At 40.0% G+C, this 24669-nt stretch overlaps 1 long non-coding RNA gene across 1 annotated transcript, besides 3 other annotated features; it reads right to left on the bottom strand.

Annotated features, from left to right (window-relative positions):
- Positions 1-6331: 6331 nt before the first annotated feature.
- Positions 6332-24536, bottom strand: LINC01117 (long intergenic non-protein coding RNA 1117). Its single transcript, NR_110599.1, has 4 exons — positions 24282-24536; positions 22717-22799; positions 6770-6826; positions 6332-6592 (listed from the first exon to the last, which is right to left on the bottom strand). It is a non-coding gene; the product is annotated as a long intergenic non-protein coding RNA 1117 (long non-coding RNA).
- Positions 19968-20057: a silencer, noted in NCBI's record as "silent region_12139". NCBI's record gives its function as "represses an Ori minimal core promoter by ATAC-STARR-seq in GM12878 lymphoblastoid cells {active_cell/tissue: GM12878}" and the evidence as "EXISTENCE:reporter gene assay evidence [ECO:0000049][PMID:35858748]".
- Positions 23347-23861: an enhancer, noted in NCBI's record as "VISTA enhancer hs248". NCBI's record gives its function as "enhancer in: nose[7/8]" and the evidence as "EXISTENCE:transgenic organism evidence [ECO:0001131][PMID:17130149]".
- Positions 24022-24071: a silencer, noted in NCBI's record as "silent region_12138". NCBI's record gives its function as "represses an Ori minimal core promoter by ATAC-STARR-seq in GM12878 lymphoblastoid cells {active_cell/tissue: GM12878}" and the evidence as "EXISTENCE:reporter gene assay evidence [ECO:0000049][PMID:35858748]".
- Positions 24537-24669: the final 133 nt, after the last annotated feature.

The raw sequence follows: 24669 nt of genomic DNA, 5'->3' as shown, positions 1-24669 counted from the left end.
TATTTATACTCTTCTGTGGTCTACTAAGTATGCAATAGCATTATGTCTAATAGCACAACATACACACCTTAATTTAAAAATACTTTATTGCTAAAATTAAAAAAAAAAAAGCTAACAATCATCTGAGCCTTCAGTGAGTTGTAATCTTTTTGCCATTGAAGGGTCTTGCCTTGATGTTGATGGCTGCTGACTAACCAGGGTGGTGGATTTTGAAGGCTGGGGTGGCTGTGGCAATTTCTTAAAATAAGACAGCAATGAAGTTTGCCATATCCATTGACTCTTTCATGAAAGATTTCTCTGTAGCATGCACTACACATGCTCTTCACAGAATTAAAGACAGTTAGGGCCTTGTTCTGGATTAGACTTTGGCTTAAGGGAATGTTGTGGCTGAAGTGATCTTCTACCCAGACCACTCAAACTTTCCCCTATCAGCAATAAGGCTGTTTCATTTTCTTATCATTCATGTGTTCACTAGAGTAGCACTTTTCACGTCCTTCAAGAACTTTTCCTTTGCATCCACAACTTGGCTAACTGTTTGGCACAAGAGGCCTAGCTTTTGGCCTGTCTCAACTTTCAACATGGCTTCCTCACTAATCATTTCTAGCTTTTGATTTAAAGGGAGGAACATGTGACTCTTCCTTTCACTTTAACACTTAGAGGCCACTGTAGGTCATTAATTAGCCTAATTTGAATATTGTTGTATCTCAGGGAATAGGGAGGCTCCAGTAGAGGGAGAGGGACTGGAGAACGGGCCAATCAGTGGAGCAGTCAGAATACACACAACATTTTTTTCACAAGAACTACCCATTTATTTATTTTCTTTAATCAAATTGTCTGACACCCAGCCCCTGACACCTGACCGGTCTGATGGGAATCTTCTGTCTCCATCGTTAAGAAGCATTCTACCTTCCCAGGGACTTCCCAGTCAGGAAGCCTTACCCAGAGCCCAAAAGACTGTGGACATTTCTTGGTTGTTCTCCCAGGATCCATTCTCCCTCCACCCTATTATTAATTCCAGATTTTCCTTTGTTGTACAGCAGTCATGGGGTTTAGGTGAGACTGACCCCGTCATCAGTTTCAGAGGAGGGCCCTGCTAGTCTAAGGCAATCTTCATCGTCTTATCCCACCTGCCGCTGTGCTTGGTTTGCAGTTTGCATCAGTCCGGTCAGAGCAAACCTCAGGAACTTGTTCTCTGATTGTGGGAACCAGCAGTTTCTATCCTGTAGGTGAATGGGGAAGCTGCAGCCCCAGAGTTTACAGCAGCTTTCTTGTGACCATGAGAAGAGTCAGCCTGAAAATGAGGCTGATATGTGGAAGAGCGAAGAATAAAGAGAATAAAGAGAACCTCAGAGCAAAGGAGCTGGAGCCCGATTAACCATGCCTGAGGCTGGACCTACTTTTGAATAATCACATTTTTTTTTTTATTGATACATAGTATTTGTACATATTTATGGGGTATGTGTGGTATTTCATATTTCGTTATGTGCATAGTATGTATAATATAATGAATGATCAAGTCAGGTATTTAGGGTCTCCATCACATCACCTCAAGTATTTATCCTTTCTATGTGTTGGCAACATCTCGAGTCCTCTCTTCTAGCTACTTCAAAACATACAATATATTGTTACAACACACCCAACACTTAAGAGTTAAGCTTGCCATTTCATATGGGCACAGTTAGTGGTGCCCCAAAATAACTACAATAGAAACATCAAAGACCCACTGATCACAAGATCACCATAACAGATACCATAAAAAAAATCTGTGAAGCACAACAAAGCAAAGTGCAATAAAATGAGGTATGTCTGTCCATCACTCAAGTGTATGCATGGATAGGAAGAGTTGGCCCGCAAGGTGTCTATCACCTGCGATCAGCATGGTCTGAAATTTTCAAACTTCCTTTAGCTCAGGAATCCTGTTGTGGCAGCCTCTATTGGTTAAGGAACCAATAGTCATTCCCTTCACTCCTCCCTTTCTGCCCTCCCACACCAAATCTCAAGCAACCACGAGCTTTACGTAGATAGGGGTTTTCTTCAGACCCAAAGACCAAAGTTGAAGAATCCTATCCAGGTGTTGAATACAAATGCCTGAACCAACATCCAGATGTTCATTTTAGTGTCTTAACTAAACTTGCCAGGGCTACAGCTGCCCAGGCACAGATTATACAACCAGCTTTCAAAAGGGATTAACCTCGACTTAGGTGCCAGGTAAGTCAATACTCCATCACCACATTTCTAATAATTGTTTCAATACATAAGTGTGAGAGACTGGGTAAGTGCGATCCAATTGCAGTGAGGAGGAAAGATAAAGACACAGCTAATCAGGCACTCACACTTCCTTCTTGAAAGGATGAGCATAGGGGACCAGATTCTGGCTACAGGGAAACCCAGCTGGACCGCCTTAGCAGCAGTCATGATAAGACAGGACCAAATTTGTTTGTATGTTTTTTTTTTGCTTGCTCACATTTTAATGAAAAAAAAGGTATTTCCTGTGCTTTTTGTGTTTTTGAAGATTTTCAGCATCAAAATCTTATTGCTTTTGTTAGAAAAATAAACCATAAATATTTTAATGGTACAAACTTTGAATATGATAACTATTGCTCCTAAGACTATATGAATTTCCCTTAAAATATGATACACAGTTATATATATATATGTGCATGCATATATATTTTAAAAGAACCAGTAGATAGCACAGTACTTTAAAGAAAAAAAATGTGAATATTGATTTTTTTTCCCTAATGAGATATTACCTGGGAATCACAGCCAAGGTGAGACTATTTAGACCACTTGATCATTAACCTTTCTCCATATGTAAGTTCACAGACATCCAACTATAGAATGTGGTTACTGTATCTAAAGGGACCTCAAGTCTAATACAAACCCTTATTTTGAAAATGAATATTTCTATCTTATTTCTAAAGTACTCCAAAAGTTCTTAGGGCATCCTGTTCCCACGTTCAGTCACAACCACAGGTCATCAAGTCTTCCTGTGTCTTAAAAACACATTTTCTCCTGATGCAGTCTAAACCCATTTTCTTCTGTTCAGTCCAGTGAGATGGAGAAGGTTGACTGGTGTTCTGCAGAGTTCCACCTCACTGCCCATAGGTTGTTAATTTTGTCTCCCTTCAGCCTTCTCTTCTCCAGAATAAACAACCCACCTCCTTTCCTTGTGTACATAGTCTCCAATCCCTGTCATCATTTTCCTCTTCTATACGTGGATTCTATGCAATTTTCCTGCATATGTTTTAAGTTACAGACCCAAAGTGTAATATTCAAATAAAAGCCCAACCTACAATAAATTTGACACAAGGGTTATTTCCTAGCTGCAAATAATACTTGTCTTAACACAGCCCGGGATAATATCGCTTTCTTAATGCCATCACTAGGTTAATGACGCATATATTTCTGGAATGCCAGATCTTCTGCAGCCAAGTTTGTGTCAAATTATACCCTCTATCTAGACCCTTCTCCTACCATCTATTCTCCAAAGGAAGTCATTATTAATAAACTTACATTTTATTTCTTCCAGTGGTTTCTACTTTTAACTCCAAATAAATAATATGCCTGCATCTCTCTTTCTTGATTTTTCAGTCTTAGGTAGCCAGTACCTGCTGACTTCTCTGCATGAAAGATGAAGAATTTCATTCATTTATATGCCTTCCTTCCCTCCCCACCTGCTCCCCAATTTGGGCTAACTCATGATTTTTTAGTTCTTCAGTTGGATAGATGTATTCATTTCTGGATCTAGCAGCTTTAGAAAAGAGTTATTGACCTTAATACTCTCAGATAAGAAAGTTAACATACCTCATCATCTCTGGACTTCTGTCAGGGTATAGCTCTATACTGTCAAAGTTTATAATATTTATATTTTGTTTTATAGATATTATGACTACTGATATTATGGAAATGTTATTTATTACAGATACAGGAAGAAAATTAATCCTCTGTCACCAACTCATGCTATTCAAAATAGAATGTTCTAAGCATCACAGTCAGTAAAATACATTCTCTTAAACTCTAACAAACTCTCAAAATCATGCCACAATTTAGTTTACCTGTTATTTGAGTCCTGGATTTTTAGGCAGTGCTATAAATACTACAACTGGTTACAAGCAGTTAATTTAACAGATTAACTTAAGAAATTTGTTGGAAGGATATAAGGGTCACTCTCAACTCAAAGGAAAAGCTAAGGATTAAACATTAAAAGCAATGGTAAAAAACGCAATTACTTTTGACCAACGTAAATACAAACTTTGAAGATCTTTATACTATTAAACTAGAGAGAGAGAGAGAGCGAGTGAGCGAGAGAGTGCACTCATTACTGGAAAAGGGCATCTTACTGGCCCAGCTTGAATCACAAACTAGGTAGGGGCAGTGCCCCTCGACTAAGAGTCTCATCAAGGTTGCATGCAATGGTGAAGGATAGTTCTCAAAACAAAATCAAGATGCTGTCACCGGAAGAATAGAATCAGGGTAGACAAAACAACAGCATCTATTGCTTCCAATAGCACTTATCACATTTTCATTAATAAACAATTTGGGTAATTTTCTGTTTGATATTGTCCTTCCCAACCAGATTTTGTGTTCTATAAAGGAGAAGTTACATAGAGCATTCATTCTCTTAATTCACGTGCCTAGTAGTGTCTGACAAGTTACAAGCACTGACTAAACAGCTCTTGAATATTGTTGAATAAAAGCCAAGGGTTTCCAGGATGCACTGCCTAGACTATTTGTCATAGACTATTTGTATTATTTTATTTTAATAACAAGTATTTTCAGATGGCTGAATTACATATTAAAGAAGGGACTACTCTTTCCAAAGGCACGTTATCATGGAGGAATACAGCCTAAGTTTTCTATTACAAGTATTGTAAAAGAAGGGCACCTCTCCAAACTTTTGGATCATGGCAGGATACCATGATCTTGTCTGCATGCTACCCACACAACTGATGGTGTACAATCACCTGATCCAAAGAATTAGCCAGCAGTTTAAATTTTCATTATTCACTCAGGATGTCATAGTCAACAGCCTGGTGATCTCTGCAGTCAGGACTTGGTAATAGCACTACATAATACCTGGTCTAATATCTCCTCTGCAAGGACTCAGTCCTTCTCCTGACTCCTCTCCATGCCATCTTTCCCACTTCTTTCTTCTTCTTCCTTCCTTCTCCTTCTCTCTTCCTTCTCCCTTCCTCCCTTCCTCCCTCCTCCTCCTCCCTTTCTATCTTCTACATTTTTCTAGCTTCTACATTTTTCTCTGTGTTTCACTGGCACTCCTCCTCCCTCTGTGTTTCACTCCCCCTCATCCTCCCTCCCCCTCTCCCACCCTTTCCCCTCCTCCTCCTCCTCCTCCTCCTGAGACAGAGTTTTGCTCTGTTGTTCAGGCTGGAGTGCAGTGGTGCAATCATAACTCACTTCAGCCTTGATCTCCTGGGCTCAAGCGATCCTCCTGCTTCAGCCTTCCACGTATTTGGGACCACAGACATACACCATCAAACCTAGCTAATCTTTTTTTAATTTTTTTGTAGAGATGGAGTCTCATTTTGTTGCCCAGGCTGGTCTCAAACTTCTGGGCTCAAGTGATCCTCCTCATCCTTGGCCTCTGAAAAGTGCTGGGATTACAGACATGAACCATGGCATCCAGCCCTTGCCCACTTCTTAACAAACTGGGTGATAGTTATTTTTTTACAAACTTGCCTCTCCAACTAAACTGTGGACCCCATGAAGGAAGGAAGGAAGGAAGGAAGGAAGGAAGGAAGGAAGGAAGGAAGGAAGGAAGGAAGGAAGGAAAGAAGGGAGGGAGGGAAGAAAAAAGGAAGAAAGGAAGGAAGGAAGGAAGGAAGGAAGGAAGGAAGGAAGGAAAAACGGAAGGAAAGAGAGCTTTAGTTCTCTAAGCTGTAGAGAAAATTTAAGTTCTTTTTCAAAGAACTTAAAATTCATGGATTAGTCAGAGGGGTCTAATATCTCTAAATCAAATGATGACAAAAGAAAAAACAAAGAATGCAGAAATTATCCTCTTCCAGGGTTTCATTCCTTTATGTCAATCAAGAAAAATGTTAATAAGGAGGGTTCAGCAGGGGTCAGTAATTCCTCACTGATGTCACAAATTTAGCTTCACTTTTCAGAGGCTGTTCGTGGCCATGCTTGTGAAATTTGTAACTCACCTCTAGACAATAACTAATTATTACTGATTACTATGAAATAAGTCAACAAAGATTTTCTTGTTTACATTCTTATCAGACTGTATCAGAACCATCTGTTTTCAAGTTTGTTGTTGCTGGGTGTTTTTTTTTTTATCCCAAGGGATAGATTCTCCATATTGTTCTCTGAATATATGCATGCAAAACTGCCTTTTAATGCACAGTTGCAGTTTTCACTAAAACATTTGGGTAGGGGGGAAAAATCACATATGTTTTTGTGAAAGATGATGATAATAATTAGGTATCTTGCTGAATTTATTCTATCTTCAAATGAAGGATATGTTGGGGTCTGTCCCATCTCTAATTACCATCTCTTCGTTTGCATGGGGTGACTATTGATTTTGCGAAAAGCACATATGTGGAGCTTTCGACACTAAAGTAACTTCAACCTGGAAAACACAGTAAAGGACTCCATTAATATGAGAAAGAGTCTACAATTTTAAAACAAGCAATATGTGACCCCTTTGCTCCATTGTTCATTGACACCAATCTCCTGTGATACAAGCAATAACTTTGTTCCATTGTTAAGGAAGCAAGAGTGTAAGATTTTAAATACTGGTACTCACCAAGTTGCTACATGGCTTTGGGCAAGCAATTAACCTTTGGTGTCTCAGTGACTTCATCTGTAAAATAGGGATAGGGATTTTACACAGGTGTGATGCCTGGACTAATTAGTATAATTATCATTATTGATGGGAAAATAATGTTAGTCATTGATATCCCATCTCATGTTAGCACCTGGAGAATCACATATTTTCTCTATGTTGACTCCATTTTATAGGAGTCTGTAAAAAAATGATGACAAAAGCTACATATGAAAACTGGGACAATACAGTTAAAAAGGTCCATATCCACATAGGCTCATATCCTTAATGGATTATTTTTGAATTTGCATTTATCATTTAGATGCTTTCTAAAGTCAAACTGAACACATAAACTATGAAATTACAAGGAAATTTTTCAAGGCCCACATTCAACTGATAAGCTTCCTTGCAGCAAAATGCTTTCCAGTTCATTCACAGGTAACACCATGAGCTACTATAGAAGTTTAGGGTTGAGCAATAGAATTTAGGGTAATCAAAGTCAAGTAAAAGTATACACTGAAGACATTGCTCATATAACATTCCAGGATCCCCACTTGTGTGTGTATGTGCCCCGAAAGAACCCCAGCTCAAACAGTTAGGGACCAGGACAAACAACAGAGCTACATGAGAAGCCAACTCTGCAAGACTGGGGTCATTGAAGCTGGGGACAGTAGGGTGTCCTTATGCCAGAGCATGGGTAACAACTCATGGGGCAAGGAAAGGGACATGTTGAGAAAAACAAAAATGGCATTTCTCTTGGGGTTCATCTAGGACTCCTAAGTGCACTTACTATGATTCCTAGGTCAGGATGAAATAACTGCTTTAAAAAAAAGATTACCTCTACATGTTGGCAAAAGTGCCAGTGAAACACAGAGAAAAATGTAGAAGACAGAAAGTGCTCAAAAGATCAGTACTCAACACTATAACCTTGTATCCCTTACCATAGACTCATGTTCTTTCTAGGTCCAAAATTTCTTCTTTTGGCTTTAGTTCTTCCCAGCAGAAAATTCTCTTTTCTTGAGCTCAGTAGATGTCAAGCCTCAAATCTCCAATGTCTCCAAAGAAGCAGCCCTAAATTAGCCTCTTCACAAGTCATTCATACTAAGGACCGTAATCTTTTCCTCTATATTTGCCTCAAAATTATGGGCAACAACTTCCAAATGGAAACGCTGAAGCTGTTGCCATTTTCCTATTATCCTCACCTATCATATGAAACATAACAATTAGCATTTTTAGCAGGATTGAAACTGCTAACACAACTTCTCTATGTCTTACACCATTAAACTTGATGAGAAATCCCTTCATGATTAACATTCATCTCGCTGTATCGTGCTTGAAGGTTAATAATATCTACCATCTCCTGAGAGAGGGGGAGGGGAGCTCATTTATCAAATGAATAGCCGAGTGAGGCAGCCAGGAAAGGAAATTCCCCCCTCAGTCCACTAGAGGGTGGCTTGGCAGAGCCAAGGGAGGACGGCCGAGACAGAGAGGCACAGACAGCTTCCTGTCTTGTTCGCCTGCACTTTAGTTGGTAAGAAGAAGCAACATTAGTATTCATTGCTTTCTATTCCTCACCCTGGGTAGGCTTTCATTTCTATTACAGACACTTTACAAATGCCAGAAGTCAGCGCTGGCTGGGCCATGGCGTGGTGAGGGAAAAAAAAACTATAGAATTAGACTGCTTAAAAGAACATCCAGTCTAATTTCTTCTAAATCAACACTGGGTGAGATAAATACATATGTATTAACAGATCCTAAGTTTAAAACTTTCATAGATCATGTAGCAGTATGTGTGCACTTCAGATATGGATGTGGAGTGAATGTTGCATGTACATTATGGGGAATTATACATAATGCATAAAGAAATGTACCTAGCCTTTAGCACACCAGCTGTTTCTGCTTATAAGCCTGAGTTATCCATGAAATGCAGTAGACATTTTGTAGTAAATATCCTACTTGGTTGACTTTTTTTAGGCCTAGTCATCTATGCTGATTTATAGAATTAGGAAGAAATATAAATTTTAGCAATGAAAGATAGAATTTTAAAATTTCCCATATCAAAACATGTTGTGTTCTGAGAAAGAAGAGATGAGGAATTAGCCTGTTTTCGTGGTCTCTACATAGGTGATAAAGCAAAAAAGAATACGTTTTTCCTATCTGTAATATTGTTCAGTGTAGCAAACCCTTTTGCTTGTTACAGTACAGCAAATGGAGTGTTTAATTTGGGATTCAATGTAGTCTAGAGTCAAGGTGCAGCAGTTTTATTACAGAAATACAATTTTATTGGAGGCTGAAGATTTAATTTCCACCTTACGTAGAGAGCCATAAACGGCATGCCTGTTTTACATTTTGCATAGTATTTGATATATGTAATTCCTGGCCTAATTTTAGAGTTTGAAAAGGTGGAAGAATCACAATACGCAGATTCAAATTCTTCAACACTTCAGCCACAGATGACATTTTAAAATGAACAATTTTCTGTTTCTTAGTCATGGATTTGAAACCCTTGCTTCCCTCCCCGGAGCTCTGCACCACATCCTTTTCAGGTCTTCCTAACTAGGTGAGCCACAAAGCCACCTAAAGGATGCCCTCGAGTCGGAACAAATGCTTTCTTTGTTTAAATCTGTCTACTAGATGGCATTCTACTAAAACCTAAGATGATCAGATGATATGGATAGTTTGTCATCAATTGTACCTAGTATCTGTTAGGGTCATCTGTTAATATCTGTTCAGATGTATGTATTTTGAATAAAATAATTTGTAAACATATTGGAATGACTGAATGTGAAAGAAATAATCAAATAATGTTAGCTGTAAGCCTATATCCACACTGGAATCCAAATTTGGAGGATTTTGTCATTCTCTTTCCTTCAAACATATTCATTTTAGGAGACATACACACACGCACACGCGTTGCTCTTCCATCTGTTTGCCTTTGCAGCATTAGTTCTCTTCATCAACATTTCATACCTCCTCTTTACCACCAGGTGGAGCCCTTTGTTTATGGACATCTGTCCATTTCCTTTTTCTCAAAGATGCTACCAGATAAATAGCTCCAGAGCTAAAATACTGTTGCAAACACGAAAATTTAACACACAGAGATAAAAAGTAAAGCTTTTCAGGCACTGGTATAATAAACCTTGCTTTGAGTCCTATTGCTACTAGATTTAATGGCTTACACATTTTGCTATTTACAACTCCTGCACACCAAACAGCAGAAAATAATATTGTTGCGTGTGCCATAAACAGTGTTGCTGCAGGTCTATTTTATGTAGTACTATCGTTTTTATAATCTCAAATGTTTGGCAACTGCAGTCAAAAAGCAAAAAAAAAAAAAATCTAACCAAATACTATATGCTGTAAGCTTCAGTTGTCTTCAGTCTTAAAAATATATACCTCGTTGAGAAGAAAATATTTTTCTTCAGACAAAAGAGAGTGGTAATTCAGCTGTAATAGACAACAATGTAAAAATCTTCTCTTAGTCAAATTCATCTCTCCTTAATTTGAGATCCAGTTAAGGGTACGTCAAAATCCATTTTAGCTTTGATTCTATTTAGGAGCTAATTAAAACTGAATATTATTAGCACAGGTATATTGTTCAATTATTTTAATATTCTTATTTTAAGAATTTAATCAAAGCTCTTCTCATGAACAAAAAGCAATAATATTTTTAAAATTGGAACCCCAATTTGCATGTGCAAATAACTGTAGAATGAGCTCACTAAACTATCTTGCCAATGACCTCGACCTTGATCTGGAAAGATCGTTTATGCACAAGTAAAACATTCACATTCTCTACGCTAACTCTGTGTTGGACCTTTTCTCAAGGTAGTTTACTTATGGCAACGTTGGAAGGTCTTTTAATAACATATGTATTTACCAACACCATTGAATTATATATTTAAATGGAATATCATTTCTGTCCATTTTTTATTTTAATCAGGATTTGCTCCCTTTGTACTTATATATGCAAAATTTTGGTTAAGCGTCTGCAAAGCAGTGAGTAGAAGAAGATTTGCGTATATGGTTTATTTAGTCAGTCTCCCAGACTGAGAAGCCTGGCTTTTCTATCGGTATACAAACTGGTTCTTCAATCAGAGGCTGAATGCGAAGGAGTCCTTATACAACAAAAAGCTGGAACCACCATTTTGCCATCCGCTCGCATACAATAAAATGGTGGCACAGAAAACAGTTAACACATTGTGCCCACGAGAGTTGTCTGAAAGTATTCAACTCTCTAATCCAGATATCAAGCTGCTTTCTAAAATACTGTTACCAAGTGGCTAGAGGTATTTGCTTATGTATATAATGCACGTGTGTGTGTGTGGTGTGCAGTGTGTGTATGAGATGCCGGAAGAAATGGATGTGTACATTTGACGAAAGGATAGAAAGAACTAGTCAAAAATTAACACTCAAGCTGAGAGTGAAAGCAAACCTATGTAAAAGCACAGGTCCTGGAAATTGCTTCTAACAGTTCGCAAAAGCTGTATAGTGAATTTGGCCTTGATAACTCCTTTCATTTTAGCATTCACTGCAAGCAACTTTGAGCTAGGAAATTTAAGGGAGTTGGTATTCTTTTTCTTTCTTTTTCTTTCCTAACGTCCTGTATAAATTAAAAGCAAGCCCACAATTGACTTTCACCTGGAAACTCCATGGTCTCGCTTAACAGAGGGGAAGGAAAACCAGGGACCAATCTTTCTTTCCTCTTTTACTTCTTCTGCTCTTATTTTTAGTCATTACAAATGCTGCCTTGGCTCTTTTAAAGTGTGAAAATTCTCATTTTTCTGCAGTGCTTCAGACTCACGCACTCCTTGGGGATACAGTGAGGAGCTAACCAACTGCACATGGGAAATGAGACCATTCGTGGTTAGAAAAACTGCAGTCTTTGGTAATTTTCCACATGGAGTAGAAGCCATAAGTGACTTTTTTCTTTTCCACATAATGACTTTACGTGAGTAGTTGGTATAGAATTGTAGGCTCAGGTTTGAACATATGAATGCACTAATGTGTTTTACAAAATTTAATTTGACTTCTATAAACATTTTCAGTATTTTCAAGTGCATAATAAATAGGTTAAAACAGGGCACCCTCCCTCTGCAATCCCCCACTTCCAGACAGAATTATAAAAGGCTACTGTCTGTAAATGAGAAATAGCCCGTAAGACCCACCAGCAGGTTATGCAATATGTGATATAGACCACCAGGGGCTGAACTGAAACCACTAATACTTTTTTTCATAGCATCATTAGCTAGAGTTAAACAAGGTGTCAAAGTGGAAAGATGGGGAGGTTAACCTGGCTCATTATATTTGCATGCCTTCATTTTAATTATTTTTTGTACTAAAATTAAACACTAATATTCAATTTTATTATTTAAATGTGTTACCCACAAACAGTACATTACTTTTTATCTTTTTAAACGATTAATGCATTATTTTGTGATTATTATCTAAACTTGATTTTCAATAAATACTAAAATTCTCTTGACAAAAATGTAATTTAAATTTAAGGCTAAGGAGAGGTTATTAGTAAAAATTTTCCCTGTTGTACTTTATGAGATAAAATTGATTTTCATTTTTTGAAATTTAGATCTTAAATCAAAATCTGCCTCCAACCAAGATGAGTGAGCCCAGGGCTCATGGAGTGAGTTTGCATGCATTCTTGATCTCATGTTGACAGTCATCGGGAAAAAATATGTTCTCTTTATAATAGCTCCTTTACAATTTAGGACATTGCTAGGTTTTTACATGCACTAATATTAGTTGCCCCATGTACCTTAAGTAAAGCCAACCCAATAAATTTAGGATTGTGACTGAGAAATAAATGCCATGTCAGTAAACCTCAACCAGATACCAGAAGAAGGATTATGTGATTGTTTAGTCCAAAAATTAAGTTTCATGTCTTTAATTGGTGTCATATCCTGTCCTAAGTATGTAGTGCTTAAATCAAAGGCAACCACATTAACCTGGAAAGGAAACATAATAACAACTCCTTTCATCCCCTGCCTCAAATGTTTGTATGCTCTACCCTAATTTTTGTTAAAACACTTTCAGGCAAAGACAACAGGAAATAGTAAACATGGCAACACCATGAAAATAGTTTTCGGATGCACTATTTCTCTCCATGTTCAAAGAATCAGTTGTATAGGCTGCAGAAGAAACTGATGCATCATTAAACCTAATGCAGACAAAAACAGCCACACTTCCAGCAAAATGGATAGTTCTGTTCATTTTATAAATCTTGGTTCTAGCCAGACGAAAGCCAGGAATTAACTCGGTCTCTCACATCAATGGCCTGAAACGGTGGTGCATCACGGTAATACATTCAAAGGGAATCAGGAGTATCTAACAACAACTTTAGGAGCAGGAATGCAATTATAACTGACAGCCAGATGTCTGGTCGGGCTGCTACAACTACCCATCAAGACTGCAGATGGTCTTGAGATCTTTGCATCTAAACAGCGAGTCCAAGTGAATGATATACAGATAAACAACAATACCACAAATCATCAACACAAACCAAAAAAGTCGTTGTGACTGATAAAGATTTCAGATGTCAAGAGTTAGCCAGCTCAACTCCTTACTCTCCCCTTTCTCTTCTATCCAAACAAAAAGCTTGTTAGTGGTTGAGGGCCCAGCGGGAAATGTTTGGACACCCAGTGCCAAATGCCAGTCTTTGACTAAAGACTTCAATATACTTTAATGTTTAGATTACAGAGGCAAAAAAAAGGCTCCAGTAGAAATTACTTTACATGTGGAATATTAATAATTTGACTAACTCTATATTACATGTATTGTGCTTCCTCTTTACCTTAGAAGAGTACAGTAAAATTCAAAGAGAAAGAAAACTTAATTACCATTAAAGCAATGATCGGCATAAAGCTTTTTGTTCCTCGAATATGTCTCAAAAAAAATTTGAGGTTATGCTAGTAGATTAGATAGCGTTTCTTAACCTAGCTAAATACACATATTTCTTCATTTTCACAGATTCCGTATTATCTTGAAATACTTTTCTTTTGTATATCAGATTTGACATGAATTTGCGCTTCATAAACTACTACAAATATCAAGCCATTCTAATCCAAATGTGGATAAAGAATTTTGGGGAAAAACTTAGAAAAAAATGTCTTATTTTGTAAAGCAGTTTGAAATTTTAATGAATTTTATGGTATTAAACAGTTGCAAAAATAATGGAATTATATTCAACCTATTTATTCCTTTAGTGAGCATGGGTGGATATTTCAGTACCATCAACCATTTTGCAGTTTTCATAAGGTCTCTTCGAGCAAAAATTATGCCCTTTCAAGCAAACTCTTTTTAATGAAGTTAATCCAAAGGTTCCTAGATTAAATATTTCAAATACATTTCACTTATGTGACATTCTTCTCCAGGGCTCCAGTGTACCCTCCTATTGTTGTCGGTTCCAAACCCATTTTGAGGTCTCTGCTTTTTCCATGAGAACGTCAAAACTGGAGGCCTTTCAAAGTAGCTGCTGTGAACACGGAGGCCCCACAGCCAGCCTGACAGTCCCTCCAGTTGCTCTCAGAGACTTGCTTCACATGGATACACAGAGCAATTCTCCAGACACAGACGCATCTGATGCCCTTTCCCGAAAACAACATTTCCAGAAAATATGCTGACCATGAAGAAACAGCAGGGGTGAGAGAAGTGGCCAAAGCACTTGAAACATCTTAACAAGCACTAATTAAATGTCGTGCTTAAAAAATATGGCTGAAGAAAGCCAAATACAATAACTTCTTACAGATGGTTTTAGGAACTAACAAGACCTATAGGAAATGGCGCATTAAGATTAGTGTCCCCGAAGTCTCTTACAACCATTAGTGACTGGAGGTGCTGTGCACTTTAGAAAGAAATAATCAAAATTTGCCTGATGTGAAGCTGTTTTTTTTTTTTTTCTCATTTCTCTCTGAAGGGAACTGCGCATCTGTCAGTGCATTACACAGTCAATATTGACACGGCCAGCCAATGGAATATAAAAGGAACATTAGCGGCCTTGAAATCTATTTTTTTCTGATGGGGTACAAAGCTATCCTGAAAAACAACTGTGAGTATCAAGAAGGCAGGGACTGTGCTTCATCATATATGTATGACTATGCCAATATAGTGGGCATTTTATAACTGTTCACTTATTTATTGAACAAATATTCCTTTGGTGGTTACGCTCTGCTGGCTATGGACTATGATTTGGAGATAAAGTAGACAGATATGGTATCTACCTTTCAGAGTGGGGAAGCTGTGTAAGGTTATTTGTTGGAGATGGATGAATGGATGGATGGGAAAATGTGTGCTGGGGTAAAAAAGGTGTTTCTCAGCCATAGGTCTGGTGCTCTGGTCTGATATTCCTTTAAGATAAGACCCTTGGTCTGAGCACATTCAAAGAAAGATATAGGTAGGTTCGCCAGGTGCGATGGCTCACGACAAACCCAGTGGCAGTAATTAGTCCCAACATGGGCCTGAAACTAGGTGCTAGTATGGAAGTCTGAGCTTCTAATGAAGGGGCTTTGAAGTGAGGTTTCCCACAATCTTAGAACCTATACGACATTATTGTTAGTATTAGCTTTCTGATAGAATCTGGAAGAAGAGGCTCTGGTAATAAAGGAAAATATAGGCCTAATATTTAAACATTTTTTAACCCAAAGTATTACTAAAAGATTGAAGGGTGTATGTATGTCTGACTCTATTGTTAAGAAGACACCTCTTGTTTCCAGTTGCTTGTATATTACCCCTTGGGAAGATATGACTTAGCAGCCCAAACTGCCTTTCACACTAGCAGGCTTCTTGATCTCTTTACTGTTGTTTGTTTGTCTTAATTCTACTCCCATTTGCCACGTATTCAACTGTTTAATACTAGTATTCTACCCCTTGTCTATACCCATGATGCAAATTGGGGTTCAGCCGTGAAATGATTGTTAGAAACAGTTAAGACTCAATGGAGGGGAGACTGGAGATTGTCAAACCTGCGCTCTCCAGAGCAGCCAGCAGAGCGCTTTGGGGATAGAAGGAGCTTTGGGCAGGGGTTCTGTCACAGAAGCTCTGTCAGGTCAAGCTGGTCGGTTGGAAATAATGAGTCAATCTAGCCAGGCCATCAGGGAGGTGTTAGGAGACATTCAGTGAAAAAAACTTCTACCAACTTGGATGTTTTCCATAAAAGAACTAGTTAACTAGATTTTCCATTTCTAGCTGGCTGCTTTGCAGTATAATGAAAAGGAATTTCCATATGATTGGGTTGATGGGCTAGCCATCCCTAACCCCACACAACCACCTGTGCCACATCACTCCTGGCTATCAAAACCACATACCAACCACCACCACCTACCCCATTTAAAAACAAAATCCTCATTAGAATCAACAAGAGAAAATAAACTTGCTTTGGAGGTGGTGGTATTGTTCATTTCATACATTCACTCAACAAACATTCACTATGAAACTCTTCGGTGTCATCTACTGAATAACTCTACACATGCAAGTTGGTAGGAAAAAAATGCTGCTGAAGGAACTCTTAAGGGAAAAAATTATCAAAGTTGTAGCATTACAAATACAAGTTTCAGCCTTGGGAGAATACAAAACCTAAAGAAAACAAGGCTGTTTTCCTCTAATGTATGTCACGGATGAGGACAGAGTGTTTCAGGTAATGCCACTGATGAAGATGATGAGCTGATGTGGATGCTGGTGCTGCCATTCACATGGTGAGGGCTCACTACATGCCTGGCACTGTGCACAATACATCGGTTATTTAATTGCTGTAACAAACCTGTTAAGTTGGACTCATTATTTCCATTTTACAGATGAGAAAACTGAGGCCCAAAGAGGCTAAGTAGCATCTAGCACTAGTGACATGTAGTAAATGGAGGAATCCAGATTGAACTTCACAGTCATCTCGCTCCAAAGCCCATAGCACTTTGCCTTCTTTCTAATTTGGTTGACTTGCTTTTGCTTGAGGCCATTTAATAGCCAAGTCAAAATCTAAGTGATTTTCACTCACACATGTGAGAACTGGGTGAATGCTTTTGAAGCTAGGTCTGGGGAAGACGATTAAGATGATCTGTTAACTGCATATTTAAATGCAACATTCCCACGTATTGTCTGAATCTTAGTAATATTTCCTGGGCTCCAAATCTCATTCTTTGTGTTCTCTTTTACATCAGACCTCTCCAAAGAGGTGCCACAGATGTAATGCTGCAGGTCCCAAAGGTGCTGCCCTTCATGTCCAAATGGCACAGCACTGCCCTAAAGCTGGCCCCTTAGCAGCTGTGACAGTCAGGGAGCAACCCCCACATGTGCAGCTTAGCAGGATGCCACCCAGAGGTCTGAGACACTGTCAGGGAAGAAGAAACAATGGAGGAGAAAAGAAGAGAAGGTGAGGGCAGCATAGACAAGAAAGCAAGGGAGAGAGAGGGAGAGAAAACTGCAAACAGCCATCTGCCGCCGCCTCCCAACTGGCCTCCCCAACCACAGGCCAGTCTCCTTCCAAGTCCCTCAGCAGAGAGCTGCATTCAGAAAGAAGCAAATGAGGGACGTGGAGGCAGAAAACCCGGAAGTCTTGGCTTGTCATCTGAAACGTTTGAACTCGGGCAAGCCATGAACCTCTCTGGGTCTCAGTTTCCTCATCTGTAAAAATGAAATAAGGATAAGGTCCATTTCACCAAATATTGAACACCTAATGAGATCATGTATTTTTAACAGCTTTATCGAGTTGTAACGGACATATAATAAACTGTACATGTTAAGCGATGATGCATTTGAAAAGAAGCATTTGTAAACCATAAAACTTTCATCTCTACCAGGCTCAGATTCCCACAGTAGCTCCCTAATTTCTTTAAGCCATTTTCTGTCTGGTTTTTAGGAGTCTTCATAACTGGTCTGCACCTTATCCAGCCACCTCATTTCTCACCATTTTCCACTACAGACTCTGATAACAATGAGGCCAGCCTTCTTCATTCAGCATTCTCTCCACTGGTTCTTCCCTGGAACACCAACAATGACCACCAAGCCCCTCTGCTCATCTTCAGCATCTTCATTCTCCTGCATTTGTTCAGCCATTGAACCCTGAACACTCTGACAAACACTGTCCTATGTACTGGGGATGCTTCTGGGAGCAAGAAAGACAAGTTCACTGCCATCAAGGGCCCTCCGAGAGCTCTTGACAGTAAACAGGGTGTTCCCCTGCCAGCATCCTCCTCCCTAGGTGAATCCTCCAGCTCTGATGCTCTCTCCTCTATGATTTCTCTTTTAATTACCATTAACTCATTATCTTATCTTTTTTCCTACAGCTCTTGTAGGCTGTTTCGTATAATTTAGGGTATGATTTTATTTTTTAAAATTCTCACCTAAAAAGCACCACCCAGGAAACTGTTTTTTTTTTTTTTCCATATTCTTATAACCCAGAGTAGACATCAAATGCTTGTTGATTTCAGAAGAGCATATCAGAAAAGCTGGGCACATGTGAGAAACTTTCCCAGGGAACAGGACCCACCATTGCCCCTCAGTGGCACCTGTATGGTAGGCTGGTCGGCCCTGCTGGGAGGGCGGCACTAGTGAGGACAGTCTGATTCACGGCTTGTCCAAAGCCAACCACAGGGGAAGCCATGCTCAAGGACATCTTCCTGCTGCCGGCAAAAGACGAGTGTCTCCTAGCAACCAGCTTCCAGTGGCTTCCTGTCCTGGGAGCCTCCCTGTGCTCACTGCTTTACGTCCTGGGGTTTTGTATTTTGGCCTTGCTAATCACTATTTTTATTCTAGATTCTGGAAATTGAGGAATAAATGCAGGCTAGCTGCTGACGTTCAAGCGGAGACACTATTTCATTCATAACCTCCTTTCAGCAACCACTCATGACTTTCATGGAACGGAATGTTTGGTCTTAGTCTAAAAAGGGTAAATATATTTTTTAAAGATTCCATTTATATCAAGACAGTTGGTTTGAAAGATACATAAAAAAGGAAAAGCACACATTCTTTCCATCAAATAATCAAAAAGTACTGACCTTTTCAAAACAGATACACTATCATTCAAAACCTGTTACAGCAATAAACTCTAACTTGGCAAGTTCACAGATGCAGAAAGAAAGGCAAGGCAAATTTGAAGAAAATGGTTCAAAGGTCCTTGAAAGTTGTGGTGGCTTAAAATTATGTCTGCTGCAATATGGATTGAGCATTTATTTCCTCCATGTTCTTCCTAGAGAGTCTAACCTCAGTTTCAAGATATACAGTGCTACATTTTTATTTTGGTGGGATTGAACTCTGCAGTTCATGTTGCTTTTTAATGTTTTCTCTTGTTTTTATCAAATATTCATCAATACACAAATTCCTCATCTGTTAAAAAATTAATCAGACTTCACAGTGAAGAGCTGGAAACTATAAGTATATCCTTTATTCAAAAAAACCCATAAATTTAATTTAAGGTGTGATTACTTTTCTCTTTCAATAAGAAAACTCAAAGACTTAAGGTGAGTTGAGTGCCCAGAGTTAAATGCATGAGAGGGCTGGTAAACCCCAGAACTCTTTTCCAGCAAAGCCACCAAAGCCTGGTACTGCCTGGGGTTCCCTGAGCAGCAAGTTGAGGTTTGGAGTCTGCCACTGCTGTATTTATGTAGTGAGCTCGGTCTCTGCAGACTTGTGAGTTCTTTGGAGGTATCCCTCAATTCCTCCCCCCATTTCCGTCCCCCTGTCCCAGCAATAACAGCCACAAAGTCATAAGTCCAAGATTAATTCTAACTGTTTTGGCTGTAGTAGACTCTCTCTAAACCTAAGAATGACTTCTGCCTTCTCAGGGATAGTATAGGATTTACCAGGTGGAGCCAGTGACTTCCATCTTTTCAGCATCTACTTTTGAAATTTATCCTTGGATGGAGTTTTTTTTTTTTTTTTTTTTGAGACGGAATCTCGCTCTGTCGCCCAGGCTGGAGTGCAGTGGCGGGATCTCGGCTCACTGCAAGCTCCGCCTCCCGGGTTCACGCCATTCTCCTGCCTCAGCCTCCCAAGTAGCTGGGACTACAGGCGCCCGCCACTACGCCCGGCTAATTTTTTGTATTTTTTTAGTAGAGACGGGGTTTCACCGTTTTAGGATGGAGTTTTTAATAGGGGGTGTTGCACATTCCTTAGAATAACTCACAGGCTCCTTAGCTTCCTCTTTTGGGGTTCTGTACATATTTGTTTCAGGGGTACAGAATGAATCACATGGCTACAGCAGAGCACTCTTGCATGACTCTTGCTTACTCATTAAAGAAACTCGTACATGAATCAAGGCTTTCCTTATGGTCTCAGGCTGTTCTTCATTCCCTGAAATGGTCAGAACACCCATCAAGTATCTTGGAAGAATGCATATCTTTAAAGGCCATAAAGAAAGAACGTTTGGTTAAAAGGAAAAACTGCTCTGCCACCCACTTGTCTGAGTTCTCCTTTCTTCATCTTTAATCAATATGTACATCTGTTCACTTGATGTTTTAATACTAGTTGAGGTAAATTCAGCTTCATCATGTTTTTCCACAGAGGGGAAAAAAGTAACCCTGACTTTTCCTCTGGGCCTTTTCAAATATCTACATGTAGTGGTGGAATGAGCGGAGGACAGGAAAGACCCTGGGAGGCAGGCCTGTGTCTCACCCCACTGGGCCTAGTATTCCAACCACCGCACAAGACTAATTCAAGAATAATAGGCCTGGGTTCCAGCCTTAATCATTTCCATTTTCATTATGGTTTACACATTAATTGTAAATGACCAGATTGATTAGGGACTCTTTAAAGCCAAACAGATTGGGAGGCAGTGCAGGGTAGTGCTAACTGTATATGTTTGACATTTCCATAGACCTGGACTAAACATCCAGACCTGTCATTTACTAGCTGTGTGACCTTGGGAAAGTCACTAGGCTTCTCTGAGCCTCATATTTTCCTTACCTATACAATAGGGATTGTAACTACCTGTATGAAAATTAGTGTGAATAAAATGAAACAATGTATGGAAAAGATTTCGCATAGTGCCTGTAACCATCGTTTATTGAATAAAAGACTGTAATGCATACTGCTCTGATATGTGTGGCATACTGTCTTACCAATTGTCTATTACTTATGTACAAAGCACTGTGGTAAGTGCTATAGAGACCCCTCAAAATTTCGGATGCTCTTTTCTCAAAAGCTTTATAACCCAATTGTTAATCAAGAAGACAACATAGAAATCCGTAGAAAAAGTAAAATTGCAGTTGGATAAAACTTCTCTTGGAGTGCTGCCCACTCTCAGTAGTCAAGTCCACACCTGAGGCTGAGAGTGCTTCAGTCATTGCTTCATGGGTCACACCTGAACCAACTAGGGCACTCAATGAAATAACATCCAATATTCATCCAACAAATATTGATTGACCTACTATGTGCCAGGCACTGTGCTAGGTGATGGATATGTCAGTCTTCCAGGAGTTTGTTTTAAGAAGCACTCAGGGTCTGTTTTAAGCATTTCATATGAATTAACTCTTTAAACTTTTCAACAAAACTAGGAGGGGGGGACTAGCATCAGTCTCATTCTACAGATGAAAAAACTAATCACAGAGAGGTTATATAACTTGTCCAGGGCCACACAGTAATAGACAGCAGAACTGGATTGGAAACAAGCAAAGTGGTTCTAGGGTCTGCCCTGGTATCACCAATACCTTACTGCTTTGTAACAGCACGTTTTCTTATGAGGAGACCATTGCATGCTTCTGGTGTGGCTCCTTTACTCCTGTTTTTGAAGATCGATTCTCTAGATGAAAAGATTGAGGCTTCACTCTTTTCTTTCCTTTCATCACTGAAGACTTGAGAAGGGACTGTGAAGTCGGTGTGGACACTAGTTAGCCCTCCATTAACACAGCTGTGTGCCATCAGTTACCATATTTAAGCCAATCTCTTGGAGTTTTGAATAAGAGTTAAAAACATACTTTGATGCATTAAATGGATCTGCCTTGGGGAGGTTTACTTCATAATTGAACACAATAGATTTTTAACTTGAAAGCTACTGCAGGCTTTTAAGTATTATTTAAATTGTCCCAGACACAAATTACTCATAAAATTGAACTGTCACTTCATAGCAGAATGAAAATTAATATGTTCCTCTTGATTCCTGAACTTGAGCATAAATTCCCTTATGCAAAACACTCTGGAATTTGGAGAGCTAACATCAGAACCTTTTTCTCTGCTCCGTCTCATATCTTGTGTCTCATGTGGTAAAAGGCAAAGAAAACAAGCCGTCAGTAGTAAGCAGAATGAAGGAAGAATATTTAGTCAGGGCCTAACATCACTTTCTTTCCTAGTTCTTTAACTGTTAGAGAAATAATTTGAAAAAGAGAAAGAAAAACTGACTCATATTTGCAAATAGAAAATACCAGAAAAGGAGATAAATGGCTGCCCAAATGATCTCAGGACATAATTATTTTTAAGGTAGGACTGCAGTCCTTCGTAAGCTCTTTTCAGAATCTAGGCCATCACAGACACACAGAAGACTATTAGACCAGGTGCTAAATTTTGTCCATGGTTAGCAAACGACATACAAAAAACTAAACTGCTTCCTTGAAGTTGAAATCAAAGAGCATCATGAGCAGCCTTATGTATTTCTGAATGGGAGAGAACACACGTGTGATGGAGGCAATCCAGAGAGAGGCGCGCTTCCCAGAGGCTGTTTTAAACAGTGACAGATTACAAAATCCTAATGTGATATGTTGGAACATGAAACACACACACACACTTGCTTGTGAAAAACCCTGCTGAAATCCTTAAAAGCCAAAGTTTAGAAGAACACGTGCTATGGATACACCAACAGTAATTTCAAAATCACTCTGTTTATGAGTCCATTCCTCACCTCTTTTATCACTTTGACACACTCTTTAGGAAATAACAGAGAAAGAGAAATATGAAGCTGAAGACAGAAAATTTAATTATAAAACAAAGCCACCCACCTTGCTTTCAGGGTCAGGAGGTACAATGGCCTTCTTTTGCAGCAAGAATGAACTTAACACCCGTGTGTTAAATGATCACGTATCTATTTAAAAGAAAAGGAAATGTTTTTTAAAAGAAATGAAAGCTATATTCTCAGTCCTTCCTATAGCCAAGTCTTACCAAAAAATAAAAATAAAAGCAGTGTACTGTGGCTCTCTGGCACAAGGCAGAAAGCCGAGTCCTTAAGTCACTATTCCCCGGTTTCGCAAAACAAAATAAAACCAAAAAGCAACAGCAAAAGGTGTTTGGCAGGTGGGAAAGGGCCTTAAAACACCTTGTGCCCTCCTGGGTCCCTCCCAATGCCTTCAGTGTGGGCTGTGGAAACAACACCGCTCAACACCAAAGTCACCATCGGCAGTTTAAATGCCACAAAAGTACACTTAGAAATGAGAAGAAAGTGGGGCCGGGCGCGGTGACTGACATGGATATGTACAGCCAACCCCACTGCCACTAGAACAGTCTTAAATGCCCACACAAGGAGTATAAAAAGAAAAGCACATTTTGCAATAGAATAAATTCTTTTTTTTTTTTTTTTTTTTTTTTTTTATTGAGACCGCGGAAAGTCACATGACCCTGCATGTAGCCTTTTAGGAAAGCAACCGAAATGGTAAAGCCAGGAGCCGGGGCTGCCTGCTTCCTCCTGCAGCCTTTCAGCCCGTCCTGTCGCGCGTCCACATTCTTCTGGGCGCATCTGTGGAGCTATTAAGTGGGATAATCCCTCTGGCCTTTGATACATTTCTGGACATGATTATTTCATTACTCGCAGTATATCAGTAGGATCATAATAAAAAGGACTTCTGACAACCTGCCAAGAGTTTTGTGGCCTTGTAAACACAAAAGTGCTCTAATAAAATTTTATTAAGTGTTAAAAAGTCATAAAAAGTGAAATAACATAAACTACAAAATTTACTGTCCTCAGCAAATCCTGAAAATATCTTCCACAGTAAAATTAAATTAGCATGTAATAGACAGAGAAGCAGTGTGGAGTGGATTTAAAAGAGGATCCAGGGAAAATGACACTGTAACCCAATCAGGGTCACGGGGATTTAATTCGGATTTTCCCCCTTAAATGTGGATAAATGTGCTGATTACAGACGAGAGCTCCGGGGTTACTGGAGTCTCACACATTGTCAATACTTCGGAAGAAATAATATATTGCAGATTGTAACGAGCACGGGGAGCCAGCGAAAGGCAGGGCGTCCACTAGGGCGCGCTGAGAGACCGGGAATCCCCGCAAGGGCGCCCGCGCCGCCCGCCACCCGCCGCCGCGCGCACGCCGCGCCCTCGCCCACCTCCAAATAATATTTACAGTTAGGGTTTTTTTTTTTTTTTTTTTTTTTTTTTTTGCTCTCGCCCGTGACATTTTCTCCAAATCGGAAGAAAATCAAGTGTATGTCGAGCTTTGCCGCAGGCAGCCCTTGGTCTCCGCTTTCAGATTCGGGGTCCGGGAGCGGAGCGCCCTGCCCGCGGCGGTGCTAAACTCTGGGGCCAGGGTGTGGCCCTCAGCGAGCGCCCTGGGACTGGCCGCCCCGCCGAAGGATGCCGAGGATCGGGCAAGGCCGGCGTCCGGTCTGCGCGGGGCGCGGGTGCTCTCCGAAGGCCGCGAGCCACGGGCCTCGCTGCGGGTTCAAGTGCGTCCGGGTTTGGACGTCGCGGCTCCAGGAGTGTGCTCTCTCTCCTGCCCATCCCCTCCCCGGAGTTCAGCGCATCCGGGGCCCCGGGGACCCCTCTTCCCGGCCCTCCTGGCCGCGCTGGCCCGCCCGCATGGGGCCGAGGTTCCTGGCCGACGCGCGAGGGCGCGGGCGGGTACCGGGTTCCCGTTTTTCCCAGGCCCCGATCCCCGCCCACGCACGAGGCCCCCGGCCCACGCACGAGGCGCCCACGCCCATCGTGGAGGCTCCGCCTGGAAAAGA

The sequence above is a fragment of the Homo sapiens genome, chromosome 2 (assembly GCF_000001405.40).
Source record: "Homo sapiens chromosome 2, GRCh38.p14 Primary Assembly".
Taxonomy (NCBI): domain Eukaryota; kingdom Metazoa; phylum Chordata; class Mammalia; order Primates; family Hominidae; genus Homo; species Homo sapiens.
This window is presented reverse-complemented; position numbering and strand designations above follow the sequence as displayed.